General features: G+C 43.7%; 1 pseudogene; it reads left to right on the top strand.

Moving 5' to 3' along the window:
- The first annotated feature begins 2,130 nt into the window (after positions 1-2,130).
- On the top strand, positions 2,131-2,967 carry LOC102724563 (transcription factor E2F6-like; annotated as a pseudogene).
- Positions 2,968-12,596: the final 9,629 nt, after the last annotated feature.

The raw sequence follows: 12,596 nt of genomic DNA, 5'->3' as shown, positions 1-12,596 counted from the left end.
GTATTGCATAACGTTTTAATTAAAACAAAGATGACGTGCACCAGAGTCTCTTTCTCATCTCCTGTTAGGGGCGTTTTCCAGTACTACTTCCACCCTTTACCCACCCAGGTCACCATGGTCTTTTTCTTCCCTCTAGGACAATTCACCTTTAAAATAAGAGGATTGGGCAAGAAATCTACAAAGATTTTTCCAAAATGAACTCAGGCCTAGAGGCATATTAGTTCTCTATCTTGTTGCTCCCTTCTAGAAGTGCACAGTTCAGAGGGATGCCCAGCCACAGAGGTGCCAAAACGCAGAGCTGGAACCAATCACCTGCTCCAACAGAGACAAGGTGAAAGCACTGGGCAGGGTGCTCAGAATGTGCTCTTGCTTCTTTGTAATGAAATATCAGAAGACAGATTGTAACATTGTTCAGCAAGCTATTTTTTGTACTGAAACATCAGAAGGCATTATGAAACTGTTCAGCAAATCATCTCTAAACAATGTCATAAAGGGTTACCTAGTTTGGGGTAAGCCCGGAATGAATATCTGCACCATCATTCCTCCCGCTAACAAACATGTCCATCTATGTGAAGCATAATTCCCAACACACCACCATCTCCAAACCAACACCAAACCACTGCCAAACAAAGCTGAAGAGGAAAACCAGAAAGGTCTCCGAGAAGTGCTGCTTGCAGGGAGAAGAATGGCCCTGCACAGAGGCTCCTGAGGGCAGCAGGTGCCTGCTTTGGAGCCTTGGCAATTTCCACCAGGCAGAATTTACAACCGTCTGGGACCTGCAGTCTCAGAGGGCTCACGGAGAAGGGGGAAGCTCTTGGCTACCCGGGAGGTCACCAGTGACTCTGAGCAAAGTGCAGATCAATGCCTGCTTAGGGTTAACCCCAGGCTGGGAGAGGGCATCTGGCAAGGAACAGACCTGGAAGAGCCTGCCCCTCTTTGAGCTGCTACAGCAGCTTCTGGGAATTTGTAAGAGCCATACTGATGAGGGTCCCACACCCTCCCTTGCCAGGGCGCCCTCAGGGAGGCCACACTGCAGGAGGCAGAGTATGAGGTGGGGAAGATGGATCGGCCTTATCCTCACCACCCCCCATACGAGTCTCCTCTGGTATGGATGGTGTCTCCTCTCTGGTGGGAAGTATGTGATTTCTCTATTTCTATTTCTCTTTTGTTCGGGCTTCCTAGAAATTCAGAGCTAGGTGTGAAATTCCCAATTCCCACAGACAAGCAACATCCCCAGCAGTAATAAGGACGTTCCACACACCCAGGACTTGGGATATTTGTGTATTTTCAAGAATAAAAGTTTGCCCTTTAGCCTCCTCAGAGCCCCCTCCCTTCTCCTCGCTCTCCCCTTACCACTGCTATTCATCATCTTACTCCTACAGATACCCCCTCTTCGTGGTGGCACCGGGCACTAGTAACTCATGGCTGTAAAGGAGAGCTGAGAACAAAACAGGAAGAAAAGAGGTTAAGTAATGGCAAGAAAAAAGATGTACCTTAGGAATAAAAAAGAGTTCCCGAATGTCACAGTGTATTTAATTAATGCTTCTATTTATTAAAGATTAAAAATACATATCAGGTGACGACTTAAAATGTTAGTCATGATTTTAACTGTGAATTCTGTGGCACCGGAGATAACAGAACAATGAGTGCTTGTAGAAGGCACTCGGTTATTTGTTGAATGAACTTCTTGGGAAAGCCTTCTTAGGAAAGTATTAGAAGTAGATTCTGCTAAAACAGGGGCTACCCTCAGAGGTCTCAGGACAAGGGATAGAAAGTCAAACACTGATGTTTAAGAAGGGATGCCTATGACACATGAATCCCACAGCCATCTCTCCAAAAGAGCAACTATTTTGACTGCGCATGCGGGAAGATGGCGGGCCGGGCGACTTGAGATCCGCGGGTCTCCCTGCTCCTTTTCCGTCTGCGTCGGGAGCTCCCGGGCACGTGAGGCCGTGCCGCGTTTACTGGCGGGAGGGACGGCCTAGCCGGGCGACGCCTCGGAGGAGGCCGCGGACCCCTTAGGTGCTGGGCCCTTGGAAATCGGCGCGTGGGGGGCGGTGCTCGAGCTGAGCGCGAGAGGGCGGGAGAGCTCGTGGGGTGCGAGAGGAGCAGGACGCCCGGCCGGGCAGCATGAGTCAGCAGCGGCCGGCGAGGAGATTACCCAGTCTCCTCCTGCACCCGACGGAGGAGACCCCATCAACGTGGAGGGCCTGCTGCCATCAAAAATAAGGATTAATTTAGAAGATAATGTACAATATGTGTCCATGAGAAATCTGCTCCCGGGGGTATTCTTGACTTAAACAAGGTTGCAACGAAACTGGGAGTCCGAAAGCGGAGAGTGTATGACATCACCGATGTCTTAGATGGAATCGACCTCGTTGAAAAGAAATCCAAGAACCATATTAGATGGATAGGATCTGATCTTAGCAATTTTGGAGCAGTTCCCCAACAAAAGAAGCTACAGGAGGAACTTTCTGACTTATCAGCAATGGAAGATGCTTTGGATGAGTTAATTAAGGATTGTGCTCAGCAGCTGTTTGAGTTAACAGATGACAAAGAAAATGAAAGACTAGCATATGTGACCTATCAAGACATTCATAGCATTCAGGCCTTCCATGAACAGATCGTCATTGCAGTTAAAGCTCCAGCAGAAACCAGATTGGATGTTCCAGCTCCCAGAGAAGACTCTATCACAGTGCACATAAGGAGCACCAACGGACCTATCGATGTCTATTTGTGAGAAGTGGAGCAGGGTCAGACCAGTAACAAAAGGTCTGAAGGTGTCAGGACCTCTTCATCTGAGAGCACTCATCCAGAAGGCCCTGAGGAAGAAGAAAATCCTCAGCAAAGTGAAGAATTGCTTGAAGTAAGCAACTGATGGCATTTGAGAATTTATGTATCACTGAGTTTTTTGGGAATATCTTCGTGGAGAATTACGCATCAAATTTGATTCTCAGAGCAATAAATTATCCATGAAGTGCTCTCGTTCTCAGTAGCGGCATCATGGCCAGTAGTGTCTTTGAGGAGTTCACCACTTAGATTACTGAGTAATTGTGGTTTCCACATTTGAAAACAACTCCTTTTATAATTATTCACTGCTTTTTGTCAGTGAAATAGACATCTTGCCTCCTGAAGTAGCTTCATCACAGAGTGTCATGAAGACAGACAGTCAGGCTGAAAAGGACAGTTCTTTGTGGACTCTACCCTTCCCTTCAAGGAGTATGTCATATGTCACAAAAGAAATTGCCTTACACTGGTTCATGTTTGCAGTTACTGTTGTACATTGCATAGATGTACACACGAATTTAAATGTGATGTCTTTGTATATATCTGTATAATGTTGAGATTACTTACGAAATATGTCTGAGTGACACTTTTCACTCTTGTACAGCCAAAATAATGTATATATGGAAAATGACAGACAAATTCTCTAATCTCTTTGGTATCTATAACTTATTAGAATCCTCTGGATGAGGGTTAGAAGAGACTTTTTCCAAACTTCTACATGTAGAAGTATCATAAATGTGCTACACATTTATGTTTGTGGATTTAATTAAAGTATTTTAATATGGTTTTCAGTGCTAAAATTGGAGTCAGATACTTCTTGGTTTTAAGCTGTCTACCTAATTGCTGTCTCCCAGCAGATCGGTGGCATGCCCAGTGGCTTTGGGGGCAAGGATAGAAATGCCATCAGGAAATAGCTGAATTCATTGTGAAACATGAATTCAGTCATGGTGATAATTGGAAACTCCTTTCAGGTTTTTGCAAGTAGATTTTGTAATGTTTGTGTATGCAGCCTTGCTGTTGAGTCAGTCCAAGGGGTTTTACTTAGGACAAGTTGTACCTTGCCCTCTCTCCAGCTCTGCTCCCACATTTTCACATACCTAGCTATTTCTACCTCATTGGGTAAGTCATTTACCACTCTGTGCCTCAGTTTACTCTGTAGTTTACCATTAGACTGTGAGCTCCTTGAGGGACTTTGTCATAATCACTGTTACATCCCAGTGCCTCACACTATGCCTGGCCCTTAAGAAGTGCTCAATAAATGTCTGAACAAAAAAAAAAAAAAAAAAAAAAGAGCAACTATTTTCAAAATCAGGTCTAAAGATGAGCCATCCAAGAAACTGCTCTTGCTCCCAGAGGTTTTAAAGAAAGTCATTCCCATGAACGTGAGAAGTAACCCAACACTTTGAAATGATAATCTTTTTACAGCAATAACTGTTGCTGCAGGGCTTGAGAAAAAAAGTTCTCTTCCTTTGGGTTAAAGTCTTAAATGCTGAGCCCGTAGCCAGCAACCTTAAAGACTACTCGGGTCCAGTTCATTCTATCTGGAGGAGTCACTTGGGAATTGAAAACACAGGAAAACTTTTTTTCTGGTCCATGAACAAACAAGAACACTTAACTGAATTAGACACAAAACTAAGTATTTATGGTTGTCATCTTAACAGGTTTCAAACAGGCTTCATTTTAATTTAACATAATTTCAAAATTATAGCAAAATAGTCAATAAAATACGAACGTGCTTAATTTGATGAATTTATGTGTTTTTTGAAGAAAATATGCAGAATAAACAAGTCAATTATTCTCACTAAATACATTAAAATTTAAGGGTAATATTTTTATTATGACTTGCTCTCCTGATACAGCAAAATTTATTGTTATGTAGTTATGGAAGGAGGCTCACTACTCCCCAATGATTTCACAAATTACAGCTTCAGCCAGCTATAAAATAACCAAATCAGTTCTGATATAGCCATAAAATTAAGCCTGAAAAAATAGTGAAGTAAATCATCCCTTTAAAATCAAGTTGTTGAACAATATGTTCTGCATGATTCCATTTATGTCAGAAAAAATATATTTGTGTAAGTATATACACAGAAAAGGGTCTGGAAGAATATATACCAAACTATAAAGAATCTATATCAAAGTCAATAAGGGGCATAGACAAGGAGGGGAACTTTCACATTTTACTTTCCACATTCTTTTTTTTTTTTTTTGCCGGAGTCTCACTCTCTTGCCCAGGCTGGAGTGCAGTGGCGCAATCTTGGCTCACTGCAAGCTCCGCCTCCCGGGTTCACACCATTCTCCTGCCTCAGCCTCCCGAGTAGCTGGGACTACAGGCACCCGCCACCACGCCCAGCTAATTTTTTTATATTTGGGGTTTCACTGTGTTAGCCAGGATGGTCTCAATCTCCTGACCTTGTGATCTGCCCACCTCAGCCTCCCAAAGTGCTGGGATTACAGGCGTGACTTTCTACATTCTTGTAACAGAATTATAGTCACCGTTACCTCCATCAAAAAATTAAAATTCAAAAATTAGGCCAGGCACGGTGGCTCACGCCTGTAATCCCAGCACTTTGGGAGTCTGGAGCAGCAGATCACCTGAGGTCAGGAGTTGGAGAGCAGCCTGACTGGCCAACATGGTGAAACCCCATCTCTACTAAAAATACAAAAATTAGCCGGGCGTGGTGGAGGGCACCTGTAATCCCAGCTACTTGGGAGGCTAAGGCAGGAGAATCACTTAAACCCGGGAGGCGGAGGTTGCAGTGAGCCAAGATTGTGCCACTGCACTCCAGCCTGGGTAACAGAGCGAGACTCCATCTCAAAAATGAATGAATGAATTAATTAATTAAAGCAAACAAATATAAGCTACCACCTGAAGTAGAAACCAGTATCTCTTCACCTTACATTTACATAATACTTTACCCTAATGCATTTTATCTGCTGTTCTAAATCATGACTTACTTCAAATCAAATCTTAAGTGAAAATCAAGATTTCCTTTTGGGGGCATTATACAAAAAAGACTGTAAAATTTCATTCTCTGAAAGTCTTTTTAAAAAGGGATAGATTGTATCTGGCTGGGATAGGGTAGGTGTGATCGGACCCGGAGGAAATGACGGCTGCTCAACTCTGCATCTCCTTTCCTCACCCTGCTGAAAAGTGCCACCTAGCATGGTCAATCAAGGTCACCAATGCAAAGCAGTAGTGGGCAAACACCACCCAGGTTATCCAAAGCAGCACATGGGGTTGGGAAACTGATGACCTTGGAGATTTCAAAATCACCTAACAATAACCCCACCTTCCCTAACCACAGGGCTAAGCAACCTAATGGATCGAACATATGTGTGCTTTGGTCATCCGCAACCCAGACCACTAGACTAATTTTGCTTTAGAACTGGACTATATCAAGTGTGAACGATCATACTTGTTATCATGTGGGAAAAAAGGTTTAATTACTCCCTAATTGTCTGGGAAACAAAAGATTTCAAAATACGGAGCTCCTGGGGGAAGGAGAGTTAATAAAATGGGTCCTTGAGAAGTGAAGTGGGAAGCCTGCCTCATGCCATGGCACCAGCGATGCCACAGGTGTACCCAGTGCCCTGCCGAGAGCAGAGACGGTGTTCTCAGAGTTGCTATCAAAAAGGAGGCAGCAGACTGCATTCTGAAGCATCAGACAATGGGTCACATGCGAAAACAGAATTAAATACACAAAAATAGCACCAACTTAAGGCAAGCCTGGGCAAACTGCACTACATCAAAGAAAGAACACACAACTGGTATCAGATTTTTTTTTCTGTTTTAATAAAGAGAAGGCCTGGACACCTGAAAGTTGACGGGAAGCAGGCATCACTAATTTCTCCGAGTTCACAGTTTTGTTAGAATGTCTTTGCTCTGATTATGGTTTTATTTATTTATTTTTTTGAGATGGAGTTTTTTTTGTTTTGTTTTGTTTGCTTTTGTTGCCCTGGCTGGAGTGCAGTGGTGCAATCTCGGCTCACCGCAAACTCCGCCTCCCAGGTTCAAGAGATTCTCCTGCCTCAGCCTCCCAAGTAGCTAGGATTACAGGCACCCACTACCACGTCTGGCTTCTTTGTGTTTTTAGTAGAGATGGGGTTTCACCATGTTGGTCAGGCTGGTTTTGAACTCTTGACCTCAAGCGATCCACCCGCCTCAGCCCCCCAAAGTGCTGGAATTACAGGCATGAGCCACCACGCCTGGCCTGATTATGTTTTGATGGATATACAGAAGCTCTTGCTTTGGTACAGAAACAGGCCCCGCTTTGCTTCGACCTCTGGGCCCCCCACCTTCAGAAATGTCTGGTGCCATTCCTGGCTCCTCCTCTCAGTGGTCTTCCAGGGTATCCACTCACAGCTTTCTGATGTCGCCCACCTGTCTCTAGCCCAGATACCCAGTCCTCATGGCAAGTGACTGCAGCAATTTTTACAAATCTACACCCTTAGGGTTCCCATCCCAGGACGTTCAGGTTTCTCCACCCCTTTAGAAGTGCCCAGAATATCCCCTACCCCACAATTCCAACAGGACGTCACTCTCCTCTTACTTAAGAAAAATGCCTAAAATTCCAGCCCTTCCAAAAGGCCTTTCTAGATTGACCACTCAGGAGTTACTCTGGCCTCCCCTTCACTCCTGCTAGACTGAAAACAAGGACAGACTTGCCTGGCCTCTCTCCCCGAGTAGACACCTACCCCCAGTGAACACATCCTGTCAGTGTCCTCCCGTCTATTTGCAAATTGATTGACTGTTTCATTGCTGGCCTTGGATGACCTCTCCTAGAGGGCAGGGACGGTGGTGTTCGGCAAAGCCTTGGTCGTCTGGATAATGGGAAATGGGGTCTTCTGGTGAATTTAATTACAGGGTTAGGTGGAAACTTTGCTTCAACTCTCATTATTAGAAAGTCTATTGTAAAGCTTTTTAAAATACAACTGACCACTTTCCAGCGAGGGTAGAGTTAATATGCCTTAATCTTTGATTTAGGATCTTGCAGTGCCCCAGGCTCACCATTCTCTTCTGCTACTATAATTATAGATGCGGAAGACATACAGACTGGGCTGACGACTGCTTGGAAGCTAATTTCTAGAATAAACCCTTGCTACCACATCTTGTGATTTTTGCCCTTCTGAAGGTGGAGTTCCAAAATAAAAACAAAATCCCGCTTAACTGAGGGTTCCAGTTGAGGGAGGTCTGCTGCCATGGTCTTTGTTAAGTGCCTGCCACCATGGCCCACAATTAGTCAGTTAATAAAGGGTTCTTGATGAGAGAATTTGGCAACATGTGATTTTCCACAAATATAAGCTTGATTTTGATGCAACCACTCATTTCTTTGAAAAATCAGGGGGCATTCACACACAGGTGTTCTAGATTTCCTTACAGTAAAACCTACCCTTTACAAGGAATAGCTGTGTTCACTTTGAAGCAGTAAAGAAGCAGGTGTCCACTCATGGCAAATGAGGAACTCCCTTTTTTTTTTTTTTTTTTTTGAGACCGGGTCTCACTCTTTTTTTGTGTGTGTGAGATGGGGGCCACCCAGGCTAGAGTGCAGTAGTGCAATTACAGCTCACTGTAGCCTCAACCTTCTGGGCTCAACCAGTTCTTCCCACCTCAACTTCTGAAGCAGCTGAGACTACAGGTATGTACCACCATGCCCAGGTAATGCTTTTGATTTTTAGTAAGATGAGGTCTTGTTATATTGCCCAGGCTGGTCTCAAACTCCTGAGCTCAAGTGATCCTCCTGCCTCAGTGGCATGAGCCACTATGCCCAGCCAGAAGCTAAAAATATTAATCAAGGAGTCATAACTAAGGATGCACTGCACACCCGAAGCCAGGGACCACAAGAGGTCAGCAACTGGGACTGCTTCCTCCAGTTCCCAGGCTGGGGCTCAGCAGCAGTGGCCTGGGCTCTGGGGACTTACTTTAAGCCGAAATCCCAAACTCATTATCATTCAAACCAATTTTCTGTGTCCAGCATCATCCCACCTAAACTGGTCCTTAAAACCACTGACAGTCATTTCTCCAATCTGTAAAAGGCCTGCTGAGGCCTTTGCATTATCAGGACTTAACTGGGAGTAGAATGCCCTCCCCATCCAAATCCTGACCATTTCTGAACACTCAGCCCATGTCCTCTTCCTGAGTGTCTTCCCCAACAACAACCACCTACGCTGAACTTTACTTTGATCTCTGCAGCAAACTGTAGATAGAGATGGGATCTCACTATGTTGCCTAGCTGGTCTTGAACTACTGAGCTCAAGTGATCTCCCTGCTTCTGCCTCCCAAAGTGCTAGGATTACAGCAGTGAGCCACCACACCTGGCCTATGTATGCCTTTTTTTTTCTTTTCTTTTTTTTTTTTTTTGAGACAGAGTCTTGCTCTGTGGCCCAGTCCGCAGTGCAGTGGTGCAATCTCGGCTCATGGCAACCTCCAGGTTCAAGGCATTTTCCTGCCTCAGCCTTCCAAGGAGCTGGGATTACAGGCACGCACCATCACGCCCAGCTAATTGGCCAGGCTGGTCTCAAACTCCTGACCTCAGGTGATCCACCCACCTTGGCCTCCCAAAGTGCTGGGATTACAGGTGTAAGCCACCACACCCGGCCACGTGTGCATTTTAAAACGTTATGCTCAGACGGGGTCTATAGGTTTCACCAGACTGCCAAAAGGATCCATGACACAAAAAAAGTACTCTCAGTTGCATCCTTCGGAACCTTTCAACACATACACATATACCTCACTCATCCTTTTGTGAAGAGTGTCTATTAATCACTAGATTAAGAGGATTTGGATAAAATTTATAAACGTACAAACTTTGCTACCAAGGACTGACACATTTACTTTTCTAGCTCATCAGTTTATGTCCTAGAAAAATTCCAGAGCCATATTAACCAGCTGTTTCCTATTTTTCATTTTACGATGGTGTTTCCACTTTCACCTGCAAAGTGACTAATAGTAATACCTATTACAGTAATTTAAGTAACACCATTTAGAGTAATTTCATCTTTAGTACTGTATTTATACTACTAAGAAAGCCGCCAACGATTCAAGCTGCACTCACTGGTGAAACCCTATGCTATATACGTAATTAATTTATTTCCTAAATTCTTACCTCCCTCCACCCCCTCCATTGGAAAATAAACTCTAAGAATGCAAAAGTTTTTGTGTGTTTTTCTTCAACGCTTAGAGCAGTGCCTGGCACCTAACAGTCAATATCTGCTAACTTTGATGAATGAATGGTATATTTATATTATGCAATATTACTATGCAGCCATGAAACACAATGAGTTAGAGTGGTACCAGCTAATTTAATGGAATTTCCAGAAGTATGAAATTAAGAAAACAAGAAGAAAAGTGTCAAAAATATCATCCCACTTTTTTTTTCTTCCCTGAAACGGAGTCGTGCTCTGACACCCAGGCTACAGTATAGTGCTGCCATCATGGCTCACTGCAACCTCAACCTTCTGGGCTCAGGGAATCCTTCCACCTCAGCCTCCCATGTAGCTGGGACTACAGGTGTGTGCCACAACGCCCAGCTAATTTATTTTAAATTATTTTTTGTAGAGACAGGGTCTCCCTATGTTGCCCAGGCTGGTCTCAAACTACTAGGCTCAAGTGATCCTCCCACCTCAGCTTCCCAAAGTGTTGGGATTACAGGTGTGAGCCACTGTGCCCAGCCTAATCCCACTTTTTAAAAAGTATACCCCCAAATCCATACACTGGTGAGGAAGTGGAGAACGTGGAATCCTCACACACAGAATGTAAAATGGTACAGCTCTGGAGAACATTTTAGCAGTTTCTCAAAATGTTTAACGTAGCTACTACATGACCCAGCAATTCAACTCCCAGATATACACCTGAGAGAACTGAAAGGATATGTCCACACAAAAATTTGCAGAGGAACTTGTACACACTTGTTCACAGTAGCATTATTCATAATAGCCCAAAGTGGCAAAAACGCAAATGTTCATCAACTGATGGACAAATAAAGCATGAACAACTGATGGACAAATAAAGTATATCATTCAGCATATAAGAAATGAAGTGCTAATACATGCTACAACAGGAATAGACCTTAATAACATTTTGCTAAATGAAAAAAGCCAAACAAAAGGTCACATGTTGTATGATTCCATTTACATAAAAATACCTAGACTAGGCAAATCCGTAGAGACACAAAGATCAGTGACTGCCCAGAGCCAGAGGGAGTGGTGAATGTGAAATGGCTGCTAATGAGTACAGACTTCTTTTTGAGGTATTGAACATGTTATGGAATCAGATGGTGGTGATCAATGCATAACTTTGTGAATATACCAAAAACCACATGAAAGGTACACTTTAAAAGCCTGAATTTTAAGGTATGTGAATTGTATCTCCATAAACCTGTGATTTTGTTAATATACGCTTATTTGCAAACGAATACATGGATAATGAGGAATAATATGAAAGGTTAATGACAACCTTGGTGATAGGGTACAGGAGACTGGGAGAGGAAGATAAGTGTTGAGGTAGAAGAAGACAAAAAATAAAAGGCTAAAACAATAATCCAGGGCCAGAGGCCATGAGTTGGGAGATGGAGCAAGACGAAGTGTACAAAGAAATGAGCATAAATCATAAAAATGAGGGAACTAGGGTTGAAAACTCCAGCAAGTAGTTTGTAATGGGGGAGATGAAGCAAACCTAAGTAACTGCAATGATTCAACGGAATTTGCAGAAAATGCAGAAGGGCGAGAAAAGCAATGAAAAAATGGATCAGAAGATTTAAAATTGGCTCTACCCCACCAAAGTTTTAAAAAGCAAGCAAGAAGAAAATTCAGTTGCTCCTGGGCAAGAATTCTTGGGCCCAGTGGGGTAGAACCAAACCATGATAAGGAGACACCAGTGTTTTGTAAGCAAGAGAATATATTAAGGAGAGAAAAGGGGCATTTATTGGGAGAAAAGTTCTCACTGTGATTGTTCTGGACTAAAGTAGCCCCATCGGACTGCCTCAGGAACTCATGGTGGAAGAGGTGCCACTGGAAAATGGCTAAGTCGGGATCTTCCCCAAGAACACTAGAAGAGACAGAGGAAGAATAGAAGAGCTTTAAATTTTAGCAGATATTTCTTTTTCTTGTTTAATTAAAATAAATCTTATTGACCTAATATTTTTGAGACTGGGCTCTTGCAATGCTCCCCAGACTGAACTCAAACTCCTAGGCTCAAGAGATTCTTCCACTTCAGCCTCCTGAAAAGCTGGCACTACAGGTGCACACCACTGGGCCCAGCATAATGGCTATTTCTTGACAAATCTTGACAATGCCACCAGTATGTTTTTCTTTAGAGACAGAGTCTCGCTTTGTAGCCCAGGCTGGAGAACAGTGGTGTGATCCTAGCTCACTGCAGCCTCAAACACCTGGACTCAGGAGATCCCCCTGCCTCAGCCTCTCAAGTAGCTGAGACTACAGGTGCGCAACACCACACTTGGCGAATTTTATTTTATTTTTTTTATTATACTTTAAGTTCTAGGGTACATACACCTGGCTAATTATAAAATGTTTATCTGTACAGACAGGTTCTCGTTATGTTGCCCAGGCTGGTCTCGAACTCTCGGCCTCAAGCAATCCTCTCCTCCTCACCTTCCAAAGCCCCGAAATATGCCCACATCCAGCCTGCCACCAGTTTCTTTGCATACTTCTTTCCTAGGCTTGACCAAGACCTTTACTTTCTTCTGTGTACAGCTCAGCATTAAAAAAAAACAAAAAAGTTTAGGCTGGGCACAATGGCTCACGCCTGTAATCCCAACACTTAGGGTGGCCAAGGTGGGAGGTTTGCTTGA

Source organism: Homo sapiens (assembly GCF_000001405.40).
Source record: "Homo sapiens chromosome 22 unlocalized genomic scaffold, GRCh38.p14 Primary Assembly HSCHR22_UNLOCALIZED_CTG1".
In the NCBI taxonomy this organism is placed as follows: domain Eukaryota; kingdom Metazoa; phylum Chordata; class Mammalia; order Primates; family Hominidae; genus Homo; species Homo sapiens.
The sequence above is the reverse complement of the archived record's forward strand: the minus strand, read 5'-3'. Positions and strand labels throughout refer to the sequence as shown.